The sequence below is a fragment of the Homo sapiens genome, chromosome 7, assembly GCF_000001405.40.
Source record: "Homo sapiens chromosome 7, GRCh38.p14 Primary Assembly".
Lineage (NCBI taxonomy): Eukaryota > Metazoa > Chordata > Mammalia > Primates > Hominidae > Homo > Homo sapiens.
This window is the reverse complement of record NC_000007.14, coordinates 47,738,227-47,760,591: the sequence shown is the minus strand read 5'-3', so window position 1 is coordinate 47,760,591 and position 22,365 is coordinate 47,738,227. Positions and strand designations below refer to the sequence as shown.

The following is a 22,365-nucleotide window of genomic DNA, read 5'->3' as shown; positions in this document are numbered from 1 at the left end:
GTACCCACAAAAATTAAAAATAAAAAATTTTTTAATCTTGTCAACAGTGTATTAGGACATTGTGTTGTTGCAATTTCCTTAGCATCAAGTTCCGTCTTTAAAAAAAAAAAAAAAAAGCTTACTGATAGGTTTTTAGAGCCTGGTAATTCATTCTTTTTTGTTTTTTGTTTTTGCTCCGTTGCCCAGCCTGGAGTGCAGTGGCACAATCTGGGCTCACTGCAACCTCCGCCCCCTGGGTTCAAGCAATTCTTCTGCCTCAGCCTCCCAAGTAGCTGGGATTTTAGGTGCCAGCCACCACACCCGGCTAATTTTTGTATTTTTAGTAGAGATGAGGTTTTGCCATGTTGGCCAGGCTGGTCTCAAACTCCTGACCTCAGGGGATCCACCCGCTTCAGCCTCCCAAAGTGCTGGGATTACAGGCATGAGCCACTGTGCCCGGTCGGTAATTCATTCTTAAGTAAACTGGCCATATATGAATTGGCCATTTGAGTTCTTTCACAAAATATAAGACTATTTCCCCCCTTACAGTAGCTATTGTTGAATAAGATGCCAAGAAGGACAGCCAGCAATAGAGAATCAGTGCACAGATGCACTGGCAGGATTACCGGGTACATCTCCACCTCACTAACACCTTCTAGAGGTCACCATGAGCGTGGTGGGAAGCAATTTAGAATCAGAAGCACAGGGGTTCAAATCCCAGCTCTGGGACTTTCTAAATGTGCTCTTTTTCCAACTTTTTGAAGCCTGTATTATCTTATACGAAAAATCTTATCCTCTTCACCCAACTTTTCAAGGATTAAAAAATCCTCACATGGCATATTGCTGCACCACACTCTGTGGTGCATTATGGATGTCCAGTAAGGTGCATGGACCCTAAAGCTGCTCTGAGGACCAGATTCTCCCCATGGAGTAAACAGGCCACAGGTTGTTAAGGGAACCAGATGCTCGTGAACAACAGACCATTCATATGGATTAGCGAGTTTCTGCAAGGAAGAAGAGGGCTTGATCATCTCATTATTTGTTTCATGTGTCAGAATTGAATCACAGTGGAGCATTCATTGACCTAAAATTAAATTACTTGTCATATTTTTTATTCAACCATTTCCTCCTTTCCTTGGTAAATATAATTTTTTCTCATTCTAATGAAGCTCCTTGGAAACATCAAATCACTGCTTTATTTTAATCAGAGTAATTAACCAGTGATGGATGAGGCACAGGTAGCACGTGGATTTGGTGGGGGAATCTTCAGTAAGCAAAGGGTGGTGCCAGGGTGGCTTTACATTGGTCCCTGGAAGAGTGGTGAAGTTGTGCCCACACCCCGAAATGTGTAAGATCAGCTGTGACCCCTGGTGGAGCAAGAAAGCAAGGCTGTGAAAAATATAAATTGTCTTATCATTTTCTTAGAAACAAAAGACAACTCTAACTCAATAATTACCTTCTGTGTATCTATTCTCTTAGAAGTCAAGGAAAACCCTATCTATAGAATTTATCTCATCATCAGTTTATCCTCATAAAATAGATTCTTTCAAATCAGCCCCACTTCCAATTTTGAAATGGATCTTACCCCTATTCAGATAAAGTCTGAGTTCATTGTGCACCTTCACCTTTCTGTATGTAGGTCTTGGTCACACCAATGGACGCGCCAGGCCCAGGCTGTGGGTGCTTCCTGGGCTCTCTGTCTGTCACTTCTCCTGAGCCCTAGAGGAACACTGCACCCAGCTGCAGCTTTTCATATACCCCTGCACCCCCAGGGCACGGCCCAGAGGGAAACTTGACTCTTTGGCTGCTTCAGTGTATCTGGCCTAAGACCAGAGCTCCTGCTTTGGCGATCAGTCATCTACACACCAAGGTCCCTGAGATCTTGCCATTTTTCTAGAGTACTCCCCAGAGAGCAGGACTCAGAGGCCCAACCTCAGGAGACACTTCTGTCTATGCCTGTCTCTCTCTGTTCTGTCTCTCTTTCTATTTCTGTGTCTGTCTTCCTCTGTCTGTCTCTGTCCCTCCTGTCTTTGTCTCTCTGTCTCTCTATCTCTGTCTCTGTCTCTCTGTCTCTGTCTCTCACACACTCCTCACATCTGTCACTTCCTTCCATAACCCATGGGGTACAGAGGAATATATTTTTCTTTTTCCCTCACAATCCTCCCCACAGGTAGTAAAGATTGTGTGTGTGTGTTTCTGTTTTTCTCATGCCTTCTTAATTACTTGACTGATTTGCTTTGGGAAATCAAAGCCAGCTGGGCTCAGGAGTTTTGTTGTTGATTGTTTACTGTTTTGCTTTGCCACTGTCATGTCCTTTCTCGGGTGCAGTAGAGATCTAGCTATTGCTGGAATGAAGAAAAGGGAAAGGGGAGAGGGAGAAGGGGAAAAATAGCAGGGAGCAAAAAGAATTTGACCAATTTCTGAGAAAAGTGTAAAAATACTGTCTTCCCACACCATGAAATGCCTGCATTCCAAAAGCAGCTTTGTGGGTGAGAGTGATGGTGATTCGGTCCCGTGGCCGGCAGGGCAGCCAGCGAAGGGCTGGGCCATCCTGCAGGAACAAGATGTTCTGATGCAGTGTGGGCGAGCGTGCCTGACTGTGGGGAGGAGCCGCCGCGCCTGCAAACAGGAGTGCCATGAGACACTTAGTGGAAAAAGCATTTCTGATGACAGTCTCCATTCCTGGGCACTTTCAGATGTTTTATAAAATTTTCCAATGTTTATTTCAACTGCCAAGTATATGATGTTTTCTTCATTTTACAGCAGAGGAAACTAAGGTATCAAAAGACTAAGTAACTTCCCCCAAAGTGTGCCCCTAACTCTTGAGTTTCCTATGACAGTGACTGGCCCAAGCATCCATCCAACATCTCAAGCCAGAGGCCCAGTTCATCCTGGACTTCCCGTCCTTGGCCACTTTCTCCCCTGACATCCAATCAGTGAAGCAACCCCTGTTGCCGGCCACCCACCATTTGCTTCACCTGCTTCAACCACCTTGTTTTCTGCCTGGGTTTTTACAGTGGCATATCCAGGTGGTTTCCTGCCCAGTCAACTCTCCAACCAGGCTCTAAAAATATTGTGGCCAGGTGCGGTGGCTCACACCAGTAATCTCAGCACTTTGGGAGGCCGAGGAGAGTGGATCATTTGAGGTCAGGAGTTCGAGACCAGCCTGGCCAACATGGCAAAGCCAGTCTCTACTAAAAATACAAAAAAATTAGCCGGGCATGGTGACTCAGGCCTGTAATCTCAGCTACCTGGGGGACTGAGGCAGGAAAATTGCTTGAATGCGGAGCCAAGATTTCACCATTGCACTCCAGCCTGGGTGACACAGCGAGACTCTGTCTCAAAAAAAAAATACATTTTATATATATATATATTTGGGCTTCTCTTTTGTCTAATGGGGACACCCACTGTAGGTTTTACTTTCAAAGAAGTCCCATTCACCTCCATTCTCAGGAAGAATCGTGATGATTTTCTCTCTAGACAGTTTGTTATAGCATTAGGCACACGTCTGAAATTCCCATTTTCTTACCATCAGACTGAAGCATGTTTTTCAGAAATCTAAAATAATTTAAAGTTTATGAAGCCAGGAGGTTTTGATCTAGATATATGCCCTTAGCAACCAAAAATATTTTTTCTTTTAAAAGTAATCTATTTTATTTTACCTGAAACTTGGAAGACACACACAGTCTGATCCATTTAATTCTTTAATGAGAATTAAAATGTCAGTCCATCAGTCTGTTTCAACTTTCCACATGGTCATTCCAAAACTATGGCAAGTATCTTTTTGTTATGTATTTTCTGAGCCACAATCTGGGACAGAGACTGAAGCTGGCGGGCAGGGCATGGTGTGGGCGAATTACAGCGTGGAGCTCCAGGGTCACATCTGGGGTCCTCCACTGGCTCTGAACGGTGCTGTCTGAACTCTTGAGACACCCTGAACCCCAGAGGCAGCAAGCTCCCAGGAGGAACAAAGGTTAAAGTATATAACAGGAGGCAGGACATTTGCCTTCGTTTTTGGAAATATTTTTTAAAATAAGAAATAAGGGCCAGGCGCGGTGGCTCATGCCTGTAATCCCAGCACTTTGGGAGGCTGAGGCGGGCGGATCATGAGGTCAGGAGATCGCGACCATCCTAGCTAACACGGTGAATCCCCGGCTCTACTAAAAATACAAAAAATTAGCCAGGCATGGTGGCGGGCACTTGTAGTCCCAGCTACTGGGGAGGCTGAGGCAAGAGCATGGTGTGAACCCGGGAGGCAGAGCTTGCAGTGAGCTGAGATCGCGCCACTGCACTCCAGCCTGGGAAACAGCAAGACTCCGTCTCAAAAAATAATAATAATAATAAATAAATAAATAAATAAATAAATAAATAAAATAAGAACTAAGGAGCTCTCATTGAGCAGAAAGTGTTGGCTGTTTCCTGACTCTTCTGATGTCACTTCTGCTCCATCCTCACCTGCTCTGCCCTTTGCCCTCGTAAGCTACGGCTCCCCCATCTCCACCTCATTCATCAGGCACTTCGGGCGTCCTGAGCAGGGCATCATGCTGGTTGTTTGGCATCATTTTCTCCTTCTTCAGCTCCACTAGGTAGATACTGTTCACTCTTCCCACATGAGGTTCACCATCTTGCCCATGGCCATGGACAGCAAGCGCTAGAGCTGGGATGGGAAGCCAGGGTCTGTACACGTCCTTTTCTAAGCCATGCTGCTTTAAGGACCTGATCCCGCTGGAGCTCCTGAACGCTCAGACTTTCAGCACATCAAGAACTGGGATACATCTTCACTATGAGATATTTAATACCTTAATCTCCCTATGGGAAAATGAAAGTTCTGAGAAGATGGGCTGCCTTCAAGTTGAACAAATTCAGGCTTGCAATCAGAGGCCTGATTTTAATCCCTATTTTGCCAGTTTTTCGCACTTTGGATAAATCTGGTACTCCCCACCATACCCTGGAAATCAGATACTAGTATATCATTCATAGGAATCAACCGAAATCATTCTTACAACAAGCAGTCTTTACTGTCTATTTCCTGGTAAGTAAGCACTGAGGTAGGGACTGAGTTTAGGGTCTGTTCTTCGACATAACTCTTGCCCTGATGGGTCCTATGTCTTGTGAGGTAGGTACTTGGAAAACAAATGTCAAAAATATACCATTAAAATTGTGCTGAGATATGCAAAACTCCTGGCACATAGTTGATTTCTCCATAAATGATCTCCTTACTGGCTTACAATTTGACTGTTTAAAAACAGAATCATGGGCCAGGTGAGGTGGCTAATGCCTATAATCCCAGCACTTTGGGAGGCCGAGGTGGGAGGATCACTTGAGGCCAGGAGTTCAAGACCAATCTGGTCAATGTGGCAAAACCCCGTCTCTACTAAAAAATACAAAAAGTAGCTGGGCGTAGTGGCGAGTACCTGTAATCCCAGCTACTGGGGAGGCTGAGGCAGGAGAATCGCATGAACCCAGGAGGTGGAGGTTTTGGTGAGCTGAGATCATGCTGCTGCACTCCAGCCTGGGTGACAGAGTGAGACTCTGTCTCAAAAACAAAAACAAAATCGTGAAAAACAGAAATATAGAGAAGATTGTTCTAGATTAAAGAGACATGACTTTAAAAGGCAATGTAAGATCCTTGACTGGATTTTGTATTTTAAAAATCTATAAGAAGGCCGGGCACAGTGGCTCACGCCTGTAATCCCAGCACTTTGGGAGGCTGAGGTGGGAGGATTACCTAAGGTCAGGAGTTTGAGACCAGCATGGCCAACATGGTGAAACTCCTTCTCTACTAAAAATACAAAAATTAGCCGAGTGTGGTGGCACATGCCTATAATCCCAGCTACTCAGAAGGCTGAGGCACAAGAATTGCTTGAATCTGGGAGGCAGAGGTTGCAGTGAGCTAAGACTGCCACTGCACTCCAGCCTAGGTGACAGAGGCAGACTCTGTTCAAAAAAAAAAAAAAAAAATCTGTAAGAGATATTTTGGGGACAAAGGAAAACATTTGAATCAATAGTAAGTTTCTTATTAAGCATAATAATGGCTTTGTATCATATAGCAGAATGTTCTTGGTGAGGCATTTACTGGTGAAGTGTTATGATGTCTGTCACTGTTTTTAAATGGTTCAAAAATATGCATGTATATATGGGCAAGTGCTTCAGGACATTGGTCGGGGTAAAGATTTTTTGGGTAAGACCTCAGAAGCACAGGCAACAAAAGTGAAAGTAGACGAATGAAATTATATCAAGCCAAAAGCTTCTGCACAGCAAAGGAAACATCAACAAAGTGAAAAGACAACTTATGGAATTGGAAAAAATATTTGCAGACTTCTCATCTGACAAGGGATTAATAACCAGAATATGTAAGGAGCACAAACAACTCAAATAGCAGAAAAAAAATAAGTAAAATTTAAAAAAAATCTGGTTGAAAAATGAGCAAATGATCTGAATAGACATTTCTCAAAAGAAGACATACAAGTGGCAAACACACATATGAAAAAACGCTTCATATCACTAATCATCAGGGAAACACAAATCAAAACCATGGTGAGATATCTGCCCAGCCCTGTTAAAATGGCTGTTATTCGCCTGGCACAGTGGCTTACGCCTGTAATCCCAGCACTTTGGGAGGCTGAGGTGGGCGAATCACCTGAAGTCAGGAGTTCGAGACAAGCCTGGCAAACATGGTGAAACCCCATCTCTACTAAAAATACAAAAATTAGCCGGGCGTAGTGGTGGGTGCCTGTAATCCCAGCTACTTGGAAGTCTGAGGCAGGAGGATCGCTTGAACCTGGGAGGCGGAGGTTGGAGTGAGCCAAGACCATGCCATTGCACTCCAGTCTGGGTGAAAGAGTGAGACTCTGTATCCAAAAAAAAAAAAGTCTCTGTTATCAAAAAGACAAAAGATAATAGATACTGGCAAGGATGCAGAGAAGGAAGGACGCTAGTACACTGTCGGTGGGAATGTACATTCTTACGACCGCTATGGAAAACAGTATGAAGGTTGCTCCTAAAACTAAAAATAGAACTACCATATGATCCAGCAATCCCACTGCTAGGTATGTATTCAAAAGAAAGGAAATTAGAATATCAAAGGTGTATCTGCACTCCCATGTTTACTGTCACACTGTTCACAACAGCCAAGATAGAGAATCAACCTAAATGTCCATCCACAGATGAATGGATAAAGAAAATGTGGTACGTATACAGAAGGGAATATTATTCAGTCATTATAAAGAATTAAATTCTGTCATTTGTGGCAGCACAGATGGAACTGGAGGTCATTATGTTAAATGAAATAAATCAGGCACAAAAAGACAAATATCACACGTTCTCACTCATATGTGGGAGCTAAAAAGATGGATCTCGACCAGGTGTGGTGGCTCACGCCTGTAATCCCAGCACTTTGGGAGGCCAAAGTGGGCAGATCACTTGAGGTCAGGAGTTCGAGACCAGCCTGGCCAACATGGTGAAACCCCGTCACTACTAAAAATAATAAAATTAGCCACGCATGGTGACGGGCACCTGTAATCCCAGCTACTCAGGAGGCTGAGACAGGAGAATTGCTTGAACATGAGAGGCAGAGGTTGCAGTGAGACAAACTCACGCCACTGCACTCCAGCCTGGGGGACATGCAAGACTCTGTCTCAAAAAAAAAAAAAAAAGTGAATCTCATGGGGATAGAGAGTGGAATGGGGGTTACCAGAGGCTAGAAAGGGTAGTGGGAGGGGGAAGATGAAGAGAGGTCAATTCATGAGTACAAAAATATAATAGAAGAAGGAATAAGTTCTAGTGTTTGGTCACACAGTAGGGTGACTAGTTAGCAATAATTTATAATATGTATCAAAATAGCTAGAGTGTGGATCTGAAATGCTTCCAACACAAAGAAAATATAAATGTTTGAGGTGAAGAATATCCTAATTAGCATGATTTGATTATTACACATTGTATATACATGTGGCAAAATACTACCTGTAGCTCAGAAATATGTACAATTATTATCTATCAGTGAAGATATGTTTAAATATATATGACAGGGAGAAGGAAGAGAAAGAGATTGAGAGAGAGAGCACAAATGTTGAAAAACATTAACATTTGGTGAATCAGGTGACATTTATATAGGTATTCAATGTATTAGCCTCTCAATGTTTTTATAAGCTTTGAAACAAAAAAAAATGAGAAAAAGTAAATGTTAAATCAAATCCTTTCTAGGAAAAGAAATGAAGTAGAGTCCTGTAGTTCCGATCAATTTGTTTATTTTGGTTCTCACCATTGAGTGTGGATCTGAAGTGGCTTCTCTCACACAGAGGTGGTGGAGGAGTGGCCACCTGGCACCTCTGTGGTTTGCTGAGACACAGCAGGGGTGGAGGATTCCTTCTGCTTCCCCATGGGAAAGGGGTGTGCATGGCTTCCATTTCCTACTATGTCAGGAGTTGGTTTCTTCCGGTGGGTTCTTGGTCTTGCTGACTTCAAGAATAAAGCTGCACACCTTCATGGTGAGTGTTACAGCTCTTAAAGGTGGCGTGGACCCCTAGAGTGAGCAGCAGCAAGATTTACTGTGAAGAGTGAAAGAACAAAGCTTCCACAGCATGGAAGGGGACCCCGGTGGGCTGCTGCTGCTGGCTGGGGTGGCCAGCTTTTATTCCCTTATTTGTCCCCGCCCACATCCTGCTGATTGGTCCATTTTACAGAGTGCTGATTGGTGTGCTTACAATCCTTTAGCTACACACAGAACACTGATTGGTACGTTTTTACAGAGTGCTGATTGGTGCATTTACAATCCTTTAGCTAGACACAGAGCACTGACTGGTGCGTTTTTACAGAGTGCTGATTGATGCATTTACAATCCTCTAGCTAGACACAGAGCACTGATTGGTGCATTTACAATCCTCTAGCTGGACAGAAAAGTTCTCCAAGTCCCCACTCGACCCAGGAAGTCCAGCTGGCTTCATCTCCCACCACCAGGACCCCAGGTTATCCCCACTGTTCCCAGCCTGTCATATAAGTTCTTGGAGGAAAGCGCACCTAATTTTCTTGCCAGTTCTGCTTGTACATTTCCCCAGTAAATCTGGGTTGGTATCTACAGCAAGAGAGTCTGGCATTGCCTGGGCCCATCAGCCACACCACCTCACAAGCAGAGCCTCCTCCAGGGAGGACACTTCTCGTTTGAGGGAGAGGGCAGCCTTCTGTGACCTAGAGATCCCTAGAGGTTCTTGGTAGGCACACAAGAGTTTACCCTGTCTTCATCACCGTCCTCCCCAGGACCACACGTTCTCTCTTTCAGTTATCACTCTGTGTTTTCCTAATCATCTTTGGCTTGCTCTAAGCCCTTCTTTGCCTTGCTCTAGCTCCTTGTGGTAGCCCACCACAAGAACCACATCTTTGAAGGCCACCTCCTGTTGTGTCTCTAATTTATCTTTCAATCTGGAAAACCTGTGCCTCCTCCGAGATGAGGTTTCTGCAATGAAGCTGCGCAATATATTTATACAACATCGACTGCTTTATGTACCATGCTGCCCCAAGGCACAGTAATCAGTTCCAAGAAAATGAGCTCAAATACTTTGTTCCAAAATGGAAAGTGAAATTCAACAGAACAGCCAGCCCTGCTTGATGGGATTCTTTCACATCACGATTACTACTACTTTATCTGAAAAGCTTAAAATACTACTTGCCATAATTATCTCTTAACATTTAGGTGGTGAACATACTTCACCAGGAAACTCTGAAATGACACTCACCCCTCAACAAAATCTTGTGCAAATCTAAGACGGACATTACTTTTGATTCAGTAATTATACCTGCTTAAACGTATCCTAAAGAGGCTGGGTGTGGTGGCTCACGCCTGTAATCCCAGCACTTTGGGAGGCCGAGGCAGGCAGATCACGATGTCAAGAGATAGAGACCATCCTGGCCAACATGGTGAAACTCCGTCTCTACTAAAAATACAAAAAATTAGCTGGGCGTGGTGGAGTCCCAGCTACTCGGGATGCTGAGACAGGAGAATTGCTTGAACTCAGGAGGCAGAGGTTGCAGTGAGCCAGGATCACACCACTCCGTCCACCCTGGTGACAAGCAAGACTCCATCTAAAAAAATAATAATAATAATAAAAACATCCTAAAGAAATAATAATCATAGATCCAGTTTGACTTCTTTGCCATTGGGTAGAATCGGGCAGACTGTAATCAGAGACGCCACTGTCTCCTATGTGACAGGTGAGTGCACCCCCAAGTGGATATCCCCCGCTAGGATTTGAATCTTGAACGGCAGTACAAAGAAATGGAAATGATTGCAGTTTCACTCCGAGAAAGAGTGCTGTGCCCTTGGGTCCTGCCCATCCAGCCCAGTATCAACCTCATGTTAATTATAAGAGACTCCTTGGTTCTGTGAGCCCCCAGGGTTGGTATAAGCCCCATTTCACTGAATATAGACAAGGTTGGTGCTTTTGTTCACAACCAAGGAAACCTGCAACAAATATAATAAAGAAGCCCATTTGTCAATCGTATTAGGTACACTTTCCTATCCCTTTCAATAACTCCATTAGCCAGCATTCCAATTGCAGATTCATCTGAGTTGTTCTAATCAATTAAACCGGATTATCCCTATATATGTTTCTGTAAATCTAATGTTCTGTCACTGTCTTAAAGTGAGAGTAGCCATAGCTAATAATGTCACCGGTGCCCCTCTAGCCACCTGCTGCAATGGTTTTGCAGACCCCCACACCAAAGAACAAAACTGCAAACCCAGATTTGCCTTACCTAAAGAACAGCTCTAGCTCCAGAATACCTCCCTGACCAGCGAGCCCACTCTCCAGTGGGCTACTTACCCTACCAAAGCCATGAAGCACCTTGCATGTTACACCGTCTAATTAATGTTAAGTCCACAAACCAGGGATCTTTCCAGCTGTCACCCCAGACAGTATTGGGATTCCCAGTCCCCAACACAGCACCTGACCTCAACAGGTATTCATCAATATTTATGAAATAGGCAAGCAAAGAAGCAAATTAGTATGTAGCACCTACAAACAAAGAAAAAAAACTAGTGGCATAATTGAAATAGGTTATAGCCCATGAGCATTAAAAGGATAGTAAAAGAATATTACGAACTACTCTATGCCCACAAACTTGATAACTTAGATAGACCAATTTCTTGAAAGATACAATCTATCAAACTCATTAAAAATAGATAATCCAAATAGACCTATATTAAATAAATTGAATGCATAATTAATAACCTCCAAAAGAGAAATCGCTGAGCCCAGATGGTTGATTGGTAAATTTCACTAAACACTTAAGAAAAAAATTATGCCAATTCTTTATAATGTGTTCCAGGAAATAGAAGCAGAGGTAATGCTTCCTAACACGTTCCATGAGGCCAGCATTACCTTCATACTAAAACCAGACAAAGGCATTACAAGAAAGGAAAACTATACACCAATATCTCCCGTAAACATTGATGCAAAAATCCTCATCAAAATATTAACAAATCAAATCCAACAACATATAAAAAGAATTACATGCTATGACCAAAAGGCAGTTATTTCAGGTATGCATGTCTGGTTCAACATTCAAAAATAAATTAGTGTAATCAATCACAGCAATAGGCTAAAAAAGAAAAATGAGTCTGTTAATTTAAAAAAAGAGAATATGGGAAAAAGCTGTTGCTAAGGAATGTATTGTCCCCCTAAGAGAATCAGGTACTTAAAATTCTCCCTATAAATATAAGATTTAACATCCTCCAAGCTAGATCAAATATATAACCTATCAATTGCCCTTGAGTAACCCACCCTTCCTGTCCAGGGGTCACTGGGCGGAGTTGCTTGCTTGGCTGGGAACCCTCAGGCCCACTGGGAATCTCTGCCAGCCTGCCTCCTAGGCCCACTCATCCTCTCCCTCTTCCTGCCATCTCTCTCTCAGGGATGGACACCACTGTGACCCTGATTTGGCAAGAAGGAAACTTGGGTGTTATCCTTGATTTCATATCTCCTACCCAAAATATCCCATAGATGTATCTTCCTTGTTATTTCTGGACTCTGCCCCCTCATCTTAGTCTTTATTTCAAATACTGCAGTTAAAGCAGCACAACCTTTCCCCAGGAATTTTATAACATTCTCCTAACTTGTCTCCTTTCCTCAGATCTCGCCACTCCAGTCCATTTTCCAATCAGTATCCAGAGTTAATTTCCAAGAATAAAAATCCGACTTTCATACTCTGCTTTAAGCCCTTCACACCAGAACCTGGCTTTCCTTTCCTCCCTCTCTATTACCCAGGATCCAGGCATAGTAATCCACGGCGACCCACCAGCAGCACTCTCTCTCTTCCTGGTATGTGTAGGGCACCAATTGTGCGTGCAGCACTGTGCTAGCAGCTGGGGATGCCTTGCAAACCAAGCAGAGCTCCTGCCTCATAGAACAGACATGCTAGTAGGGAGAAACAAACGAGACGTGTCAACAAGCCCACGGGCAGACAAACAGAATGCTTCCAGGACCTTACAGATTTTATGAAGAAGATAAAATGGTTAATGGGATAGAGATTTCCCAAGGGTAGCCACAATAGTAACATGAAGAAACATTTGAGTAAAAACTTTGTAAAGAGGAGGCAGCAGCGTGAAGATCTGGGAGAATGGAGAAGAAAAATGGGAGGAGGAGATAACAGTTAGCCAGGGTCAGATCACAGAGGGCCTTGTGGTGCTCCGTTGGAAGGATAAGAATACTAGGGTGATGGGACCAGACACAGTGGCTCACACCTGTAATCCCAGCACTTTAGGAGGCCAAGGCAAGTAAATCACCTGAGGTCAGGAGTTCAAGACCAGCCTGGCCAACATGGTGAATCCCCATCTCTACTAAAAATACAAAAATTAGCCAGGCATGGTGGTGTATGCCTGTAATCCCAGCTACTCAGGAGGCTGAGGCAGGAGAATCGCTTGAACCTGGGAGGCGGAGGTTGCAGTGAGCCGAGATCATGCCACTGCACTCCAGTCTGGGCAACAAGAGCGAAACTCCATCTCAAAAAAAAAAAAAAAAAAATAGAATGATGGGAAGCCACGGGAATAATGAGATGTAATCAGAGCATATGTGTGTTGCCTCTGGCTCTTGGCTAGAAAAAAATCAAGAGTGGAGGAAGACAGGCAGCCCTTGCAGTAGCCCAGGTAAGAGGTGGCCATTGCTGGATTTGGGCAGTAGCTGTGGCTCTATTCAAGCTGTGTTGTGGAATTAGAACCCACAGAGTGAACCGGATACGGAGGCGGAAGGAACACAGAACACAGAAGCTGATCTGATCCTAAGATTACAGCATGCCCGGGAAGGCTCGGCAGGAGAAATCAGGAGCTCTCTTTGCCATCGCATTTGACACTCAAACAGAGGTTCAGAGTAGGCTATTGGGTGCCTGTGTCAAGAAGCAGGAGAGAGGTCCAACCAAACACATTCCTAATATTTAAAGACATGGTTCTTACCAAGATGACCTAGGGGACTGAGAGAGAATAGAGTAGGGGATTAAAGACAGAAATCTGAGTACAGTTGTGCATTCAGGGTTCTTCTGGAGAAGACCACCGCCTCCTACAAAGGAGATGCAGAAAGAGCAACGGAGGAGATGGAAGAAGCATCAGGAGGGTGTGCAGGCAGGGAAAGAAGGCTGGGAAAGAAAGTGTGCCAGGACAGGCGTAGCCAGAAATGGAGTGGGGTGCTGCTGACAATGCACTCAGGTAAGGGCTGAGCACTGATTCCTGCCCAGGCGAGAGGTGGATCACTGCGACGGAGGACTGGCGAGTGTGCAGCCTGGCTGGAGTGGGGCAAGGAACCAATGAGACCTGTGGAAGTGGAATAACCACAGACAACTGGGCAAGGAGTTTCGATAAACCCTGGCTCAGGAACGCCTCATCTGGAAAGTCATGCTGGACACTCAAGGCTGGAGCAGACATGTCCTGTGTGCCCTCAGCCCACTCAGAGGTAACAACAGCTTGCTGGCCGGCTGGCCTCAGCCCTGTCAGGAGGCTCCTGCAGGCCATCTTCACTTGGGCTACAGCTTCCATACCCAGCACTGCTCTGGCACCTGGGAACCATCAAGCAGCATTTGCAAATCAGGGAAACTACTCCAGAATGTGTAAAGAATTCTCAAAACTCAACAGAAAGAAAGCAAACAACCCAATTGAAAGGTAGTAAAAAGACAGCCAGATGCAGTGGCTCACACCTGTAATCCCAGCACTTTGGGAGGCCAAGGCAGGTGGATCACCTAAAGTCAGGAATTCAAAACCAGCCTGGCCAACATGGCAAAACCCCATCTCTATGAAGAATACTAAAAATTAGCTGAGCATGGTGGCGGGTGCCTGTAATCCCAGCTACTTGGGAGGCTGAGGCAGAACTGCTTGAACTGAGTGACAGAAGTTGCAGTGAGCCGAGATTGAGCCATCGCACTCAAGCCTAGGTGACAGAGTGAGACTCTGTCTCAAAAAAAAAGAAAAAAGAAAAGTAGTAAAAAGACTTGGATACTTCAGCAAAGTACCCAGGTCTTTTTACTCCACCAAAATATCCAGGTCTTTTTACTACAGGTGGCAAATAAGCACATAAAAAGATGTTCAACATCATCAGCCATTAAAGAAATGTGAATTAAACCACAGTGGGATATTACATACCCATTAGAGTGGCTGGGATAAATACTGACGATATCAAGTGCTGGTGAGGGTGTGGAACAACTGACAACTCTATATTGTTGGTGAGAATACAAAATGGTACAGCCATTCTGGAAAATAATGTGGCACTTTCTTATAAAGTTAAGCATACACTTAACATATGACCCAAGAATCCCACTACTAGGCATTTACCTTAAAGAAATAACCTAAAGAAATTTAGGGTGTTTAAAGTCTGACACAAATGTTTATAGCAGCCTTATTCATAATCACCCAAAACTAGAAACAACACAAAAGTCCTCCAGTGGTTGAAAGCATGTTACATCCATACAGTGGAATACTATCAGCTCTATAAAGCAAAGGACTATTGCTATATGCAGCAAGAAGAATCTCAAAGACATTATGCTATGTGAATGAGGCCAGTCTCAATAGATGTTATTGCATTGACATGACATTCTGGAAAAGACAAAATTATAGCAACACAGAACAGCTCAGTGGTTGCCAGCGATTGGGGTAGGGGTGCCTCTAAAGGATAGTGTGAGGGGGGTTTATGGGTCAGGTGCGGTTCTGTATCCTGATTACCATAGCAGTCATATAAATCTATACATGTGCTCAAATTCATAGAACTCTACACAGAAAGCTAATATTACTGTGTGGTACTTTAAAATATATCATTTAAAAATCATCATTTGCTGAATGGATGAATATATGAATTAAGTTTATCCTCAATAAGACCAGTTTTCCAGCATTTCTTAGTTATTTTGCTTCATTCTATACAAAATGGGTGAAACTTTTGGGCTGGAAATGAGAAATTTCACTCAGAACACTTTAGGGCTTGGCCGGCTGCAGCGTGCTGTCGTCCTTTAATGTTACTACCATGGGTCCAGAGCTGCAGTCTTCTCAGGCCTATGAACATCGCCCTGGTGCAGCCTCTCTTCTGCCGGCATGAGAAGGCTCGGCTGGACCAGGTCCCTGCTCGGGGGGGAACCCTGGTTCTGAGACAGTGGGTAAGGCACCCCTCCTCCCTGAGACTCAGCTTCCCTACCCAGGAAATGGATCAGATAGCCCAGTTTATAAGGTATACAATGTAGTCGTAAGGATCATGTGAGAATATTTTCTTTTTCTCTTTTTTTTTTTTTTTTTTTTTTTTTTGAGACTGGGAGTCTCACTCTGTCACCCAGGCTGGGGTGCTGTGGAATTATTTCGGCTCACTGCAACCTCCGCCTCCCGGGTTCAAGCGATTCCCCTGCCTCAGCCTCCTGAGTAGCTGGAACTACAGGCGTGTGCCACCACGCCCAGCTAATTTTTGTATTTTTAGTAGAGAGGGGGTTTCACCATGTTGGCCAGGATGGTCTCGATTTCTTGACCTCATGATCCGCCCACCTCGGCCTCCCGATAGTGCTGGGATTACAGGCATGAGCCCGGCCTGTGGGAGTATTTTCTAAAGTGCGGCACCACGTAGAACGGAGGCCATTCCGCGTCCCATAGCCACTAATCTCTTCCTCAACCCTTCCATCCATCATTCCCCTCAACCAGGGCCGAAGAGCTCCCCCAGCCTCACCCACCACCTCCACCTCCACCCCTCTGGGCGTCCAGGGCTCCCAGTTCAAGCTGCCCTGCCACTGTAACCTGACTCCGCCTGTGTGACAGCACGGGATCTGGGCGCTGGCACCTCGTTTGGGGCTGATTAACAAGCTGCGGAGGGTCTCCAGGCACAGCCAGCAGGCAAGCTCCTTGCTAGCGCCAGATTTGCCGATTCTCTGTGTTTTCTTTGGGGGGAAAGGGAGGAAGTGGGCTGTCAGTAAAAGCAGACTCATTTATTTTAATAAATTGTTGTGAAAAGTAAAACAAACATGACCCCGCTCAGAAAGGGTGACTCTGATGCAGAGAGAGCCCTAGGAAGGAGAGGACGACCCAGAAAGAAGTACATGAACGTTTTCCCCTGGGTAAGGCCAGCCGGCAGCGCTAACCACGTGTGCTGTTTTTCAGCCACGGTGCCGGCATTCCCGTAGCAGCTTGGTATTTTTGTTACACGAAGAGCTCATATAAATTATGAAAATTAACAAGATCCTGTAAACAGGTGAGCAATAGGCACAGATAATTCCCAACAGAAGAAAAAGAATTAGGGAACACGCATATGGGAAAATGTTCAACCCTACTAGTGATTAAAGAAATAAACATCAAAGTAATTAGGTTATTTCACTGTCTATCAAATTAACAAAACTTTAAAAATAATATAATACCTAAAGCTGGTAAACTCAGGGAAACACATATGATGCTGGTAGACTTATAAATCAGTGTAAATATTTTCTTTCTTTCTTTTTTTTTTTTTTTTTTTTTGAGACGGAGTCTCACTTTGTCACCCAGGCTGGAGTCTTGGCTCACTGTAACCTCCACCTCCCGGGTTCAAGGGATTCTTCTGCCTCAGCCTCCTTAGTAGCTGGGACTACAGGCGTGCACCACCACGCTCAGCTAATTTTTGTATTTTTAGTAGAGAGAGTGTTTCACCATATTGGCCAGGCTGGTCTTGAACTCCTCACCTCGTGATCTGCCTGCCTTGGATTCCTAAAGTGCTGAGATTACAGGCGTCAGCCACCACACCTGGCCATACAACCATTTTCAAAGGCAATTAGGCAATATATACTAAGAACCATAATAGATAACCATGACTTTTTTAAAATTATTATTATTATACTTTAAGTTTTAAGATACATGTGCATGACGTGCAGGTTTGTTACATATGTACACATGTGCCACGTTGGTGTGCTGCACCCATTAACTCGTCATTTAGCATTAGGTGTATCTCCTAATGCTATCCCTCCCCCCTCCCCCCACCCCACAACAGTCCCCGGTGTGTGATGTTCCCCTTCCTGTGTCCATGTGTTCTCATTGTTCAATTCCCACGTATGAATGAGAACATGCGGTGTTTGGTTTTTTGTCCTTGCGATAGTTTGCTGAGAATGATGAGAGATAACCATGCCTTTTAACCTGATGTTTAGATCATTTAACCAGTAATCCATATCAGCAAATCTTACTAAAGAAAATTCTGAGTCCTGGCACAGTAGTTCACACCTGTCATCCCAGCACTGTGGGAGGCCGAGGCGGGCGGATCATTTGAAGTCAGGAGTTTGAAACCAGCCTGGCCAACATGGTGAAACCTTGTCTCTACTAAAAATAAAAAAATTAGCCAGGCATGGTGGTGCATGCCTGTACTCCCAGCTACTCAGGAGGCTGAGGCAGGAGAATTGCTTGAACCCGGGAGGTGGAGGTTGCAGTGAGCCGAGATTGCACCACTGCATTCCAGTCTGGGTGACAGAGTGAGACTCCGTCTCAAAAACAAAATGCTTAATATATATTTTTAAATGACCAAAAGAAACAACTCTAAATATACGAAAACAGTGCAAAATTATTCATCACAGTATGCTACTAAATAATCTAACTATCTTTGGACTGTTTTAAACCTTTTACAAATGGTCACAAAGAATTATAAATATTCTGGTGGGATATTTATGATCTAATGTTGAATTAGAAAGCAAGTTATCAAGTTGTTTATATACAACGGTTCAATTATGCAAACATTTGCAGAGAGACTGGAAGGAAAACATGGCACTGGTGGTCGTATTTGGATACTTAGACATATTTAATTTTGTATTCTATTTAACTTGGTATTTCTAATTTTTTTAATGAAAATGTGTTTTTAATGGGAAAAATAAACACAGAAGACATAAAGAGGGGCTCAGCTCTTCCTAATGACCCGGCTGCTCACGGATCATTCCTGAGAGTGTCTTCATCTTTCTTGAGTCTATTTATGTTGTTGACCCACATGACCTCCTCGGTAATGAATTCCTTATGTCCATCCCTACGGTACAAAAGACTGCTTCTCTCCTCCGGAATCTACCTTTTCAGATTCTAAGCATGCCCCTAGATCATGGCAGTATTTCTGTATCAACTGATTAGCTACTGTCCAAGACCACAGGTCCTGTAAGAATTCTATAAACCCCAAATCCTGGTAGAGCGTAAATTAGTATAGCCAGGGCACAGTCGTTTGGCAACATCTAGGAAAGTTGAAGATGCTCACATCCTGCAGCTGGCAGTTCCCCGTCTAAGAATATTCCACAGAGAGCCAGGCGCAGTGGCTCACGCCTGTAATCCCAGCACTTTAGGAGGCCAAGGTGGGTGGAGAGGTCAGGAGTCGAGACCATCCTGGCTAACACGGTGAAACCCCATCTCTACTAAAAATACAAAAAATCAGCCGGGCGTGGTGGCGGGCACCTGTAGTCCCAGCTACTCGGGAGGCTGAGGCAGGAGAATGGCATGAACCCGGGAGGCGGAGCTTGCAGTGAGCCAAGATTGCGCCACTGCACTCCAGCCTGGGCAACAGAGCGAGACTCCATCTCAAAAAATAAAAATAAAAATAAAAAAGAATATTCCACAGAAAAACTCACACAGGGAGCCCACACCACGACCTCTTGAGTCTGTGGGTGCCCAGGTCAGGTTGGTGCAGTTAACACATTTATATGGGAGAGTCTTTTGGAGAGGAACTTAGTGAAGAACTGAGAGTGAAGAGTAGTGAGGTTGGAGCCCCAGCTGAGGGGTTGGTAAAGGAGCACCTTTCTGATTGATTCTGGAGGAGGTGGGAGGACACAGGAAGAGTTCTGAGAGTCTGGAGGAGAGTTTCTGGTTTGGGGTCAAGGCAGGAGGCAGGCGATGGCTCTCTTTCTCAGTAGTGGCAGCTCACCTGCTGGGGCAGTTTGGGGCGGGTAGAGGGCAGGAGACCTGGCTTGGGGAGACTTGACTTGAGGAGGAAGAGAATTTTCCTCACCTCCATTAGGCTTTATTGCAGTATTATTTGCAATAGCCAAGATATGAAAACAACCTCCATGTCCATTGACAGATGAATGGACAAAGAAATTGTGATATATATTCACATTATTCATGTTATTTACATGTACTGTAGTCCCCGTTTTGCTTTCCAAAGTTTTAGTTACCCTGAGTCAACTGCAGTCCAAGAATAGATGAAACAATTATAAAATAACAAGACATTCTGAGAGAGACCACATTCACATAACTTTTTTTTTTTTTTTGAAACAGAGTCTCACTCTTGTCACCCAGACTGAAGTACAGTGGCACGATCTCGGCTCACTGCAACCTCCACATCCCAGGTTCAAGCAATTCTCTTGCCTCAGCCTCCCAAGTAGCTGGGATTACAGGCGTGTGCCACTATGCCTGGCTAATTTTTGAATTTTTAGTAGAGACAGGGTTTCACCGTGTTGGCCAGGCTGGTGTCGAACTCCTGACCTCAGGTGATCCACCTGCCTTGGCCTCCCAAAGTGTTGGAATTACAGGCGTGAGCCATTGCACCCGGCCGCACATAACTTTTATTACCATATGTTGTTATAATTGTTCTATTATTTTATTATTATTCATTGTTGTTAATCTCTTACTGTGCCTAGTTGATAAATTAAGCTTTACCATAGGTGTGTATGTAGGAAAAAACATAGTTTGTATGGGGGTTGGTGCTAGCCACAGTTTCAGGCATCCAGTGTGGTTCCTGGAAGTTATGCTGCTCAGGTGAGGGGGGACTATTGTACAAAGCATTTACATGGAGACTGAAAGAAAACAGAGCAGAATGGCAATAGCGTCATGGTCATATTTTGATCCTTGAGCATATTTAATGTTTTGTTCTGTCTAACTTGGCATTTCTTTTTTTTAATGAAAATGTCTTCCAGGTTCATCCATGTTGTTGCAAATGACAAGATCTCCTTTTGAAAGCTGAATGATATTCCATTGTGTGTGTGTGTACACATTAGTACATTTTCATTTCTGTACAACGGCCTCTGAGCAGCCTCCAGGCCCCCTCTGCAGAGGAGGGGCTTATAAACACAAGTAGAAAATAAATAAACTGTCTGCTGAGTAACGCTTATGCCGCTTCCACATAGTAAGGCTTCCGTTCTTATGATCGTGTGCCCGGGACTTGGGCCACCTGCATTAAGTCCCAGAGGCACAGGGACCCTGTACCCACAGCTGCGGATGATTAACTGGGGGCGGGGGGCAGGGGCTGGACTTTTGAGTCCAGCTGTTTAGTTCCCTGTCAAGCCACAGATGAGATTTAGAAGTAAAATAAGTAAATAAAATTAATAAACATAAAAACGCAGCCCTCCTGGTTGATGTTCCCAGGAGCCACCATGTATCAAAGCCGCACAGCCAGTCTCCCAAAGTGACCATCCTCTCGTCCTCTCATTGCGCTAAGGAGCCGGTTCTTTTGTGTTGCATAAGAAAGCCATAGAGAAAATAAGGAGCCCTCCTGCTGAGGGAACACTGCAGAGAAAGAACTGGAGGCAGAGAAGCCCCAGCAACAAGGAAAAGATCCTCAAGGCTCAGGGCAGGCAAGCTTCAAGGGGAGGCCAGCGTGGGTCAGAGCGAGAGGCAAGGAGGACACCACATCAGGCCTGGGCCAGTCCACCCAGGCTGTGTTTAGTTCAGTGAAAGTCTCCATACCAGAGGGCTTCCCGTCCCCACTGTGGCCCAGGTCAGGACATCGGGAGAATGCCACTCTTCAGCCCTCAGCCTCCCTTGGGCATCACCTGGGGATACAGAGGCACCTGATGGGGCCTGTTCCCTGAAACTTTGAGGAATAAGAAGTGTGTTCCTCCCAAAAATACTGTGTATGCTCTGTGCCAGACATTTACCATGCTGGGGAACATCTGGGAACTGAAACTGACGAGAATCCCTGTCCTTGTGGGGCAACAGCCATCATCACAGGAGGTAAATGCTGCATCATCTTAGGAGGTGGGAATTGCTATGGAAAAATGAAAAATTAGAGGAAGGCAAAAGGGACCAGGAGTGTGGTGTGGGCTAGTGGAAAGCAAGTGTCAGCATCAAATAAGTTGCTCCAGAGAGGCCTCTGCAGATGGTGTCATTTGAGCAGAGACCTGAGGGGGCTGGGAGAGCAGACTAGGCTGGGGCTATGGGGCAATGTCTCAGGCCCACAGGATGACCTGCAAAGGCCCGAGGACCTGAGGTCAAAGGCCAGCCAAGGCCAGGCTGCTGGAGGCAAGGGCAAGTGAGAAGGGGCAGCAGGTGGGGGAGGGTCTGGTGGAGGGACTCAGGCTCTGTCCGTGTGGGCTCTGCAAAGAGCTCTCCGCTGCTTGTTGAAGGCAGAGGCAGAGACCCTGAGGAGGCTGTTGCCTCCTCACACTCAGGTGTGAATGTGGCTTGTGGCTTAGGCCCACAAGAAGGGTGGGGCAGTCCCCAGAAATGTCCAAGTCACTCACTACGGTCACACATCGTATAGCATACAAGTCAGATTCTATTTAGAAGTTTAACAACTCAGCCACTGATGTGATTATTGTTCAGTCTTTGGTTTGTGAGGCTCATGGAGCCGGTTTCTTGTTAAACACTTTACAAAAGGTGGAGCCACATACAGGAGCCATAAGACACCACAGAGGGGGAAACTCAGGGCACCTTTGATCCAACTGCTCATTTTACAGACAAGGAAAGTACGACTCTGGGAGATGGCATGGTTTCCTAAAGCCAGGCCGTGATTCTCGTGCTTGAATTTGCACAAATGCCACCTGGGGCTTTTGGTAAAATGAAGATTAGAATTCAGCAAGTCTGGCATGGACCTAAAGTTGTGGACTTTCTAACCAGCTCTCCAGAGATGCTAAGGCTGCTGGTCCGGGGACCACACTTTGAGCAGCCACAGTCTGGACTGGATGGGAGGCTGCAGTGAGAGCCTGGGGAAGTGTGGTTTAACATTTTGAATCAGGAAAGCTATG

General features: G+C 44.9%; 1 annotated feature.

Annotated features, from left to right (window-relative positions):
- Positions 20,549-21,203: an enhancer, noted in NCBI's record as "H3K4me1 hESC enhancer chr7:47778987-47779641 (GRCh37/hg19 assembly coordinates)". NCBI's record gives its function as "activates a minimal SCP1, AML or CMV promoter by ChIP-STARR-seq in naive H9 embryonic stem cells {active_cell/tissue: H9 hESC(naive)}" and the evidence as "EXISTENCE:reporter gene assay evidence [ECO:0000049][PMID:30033119]".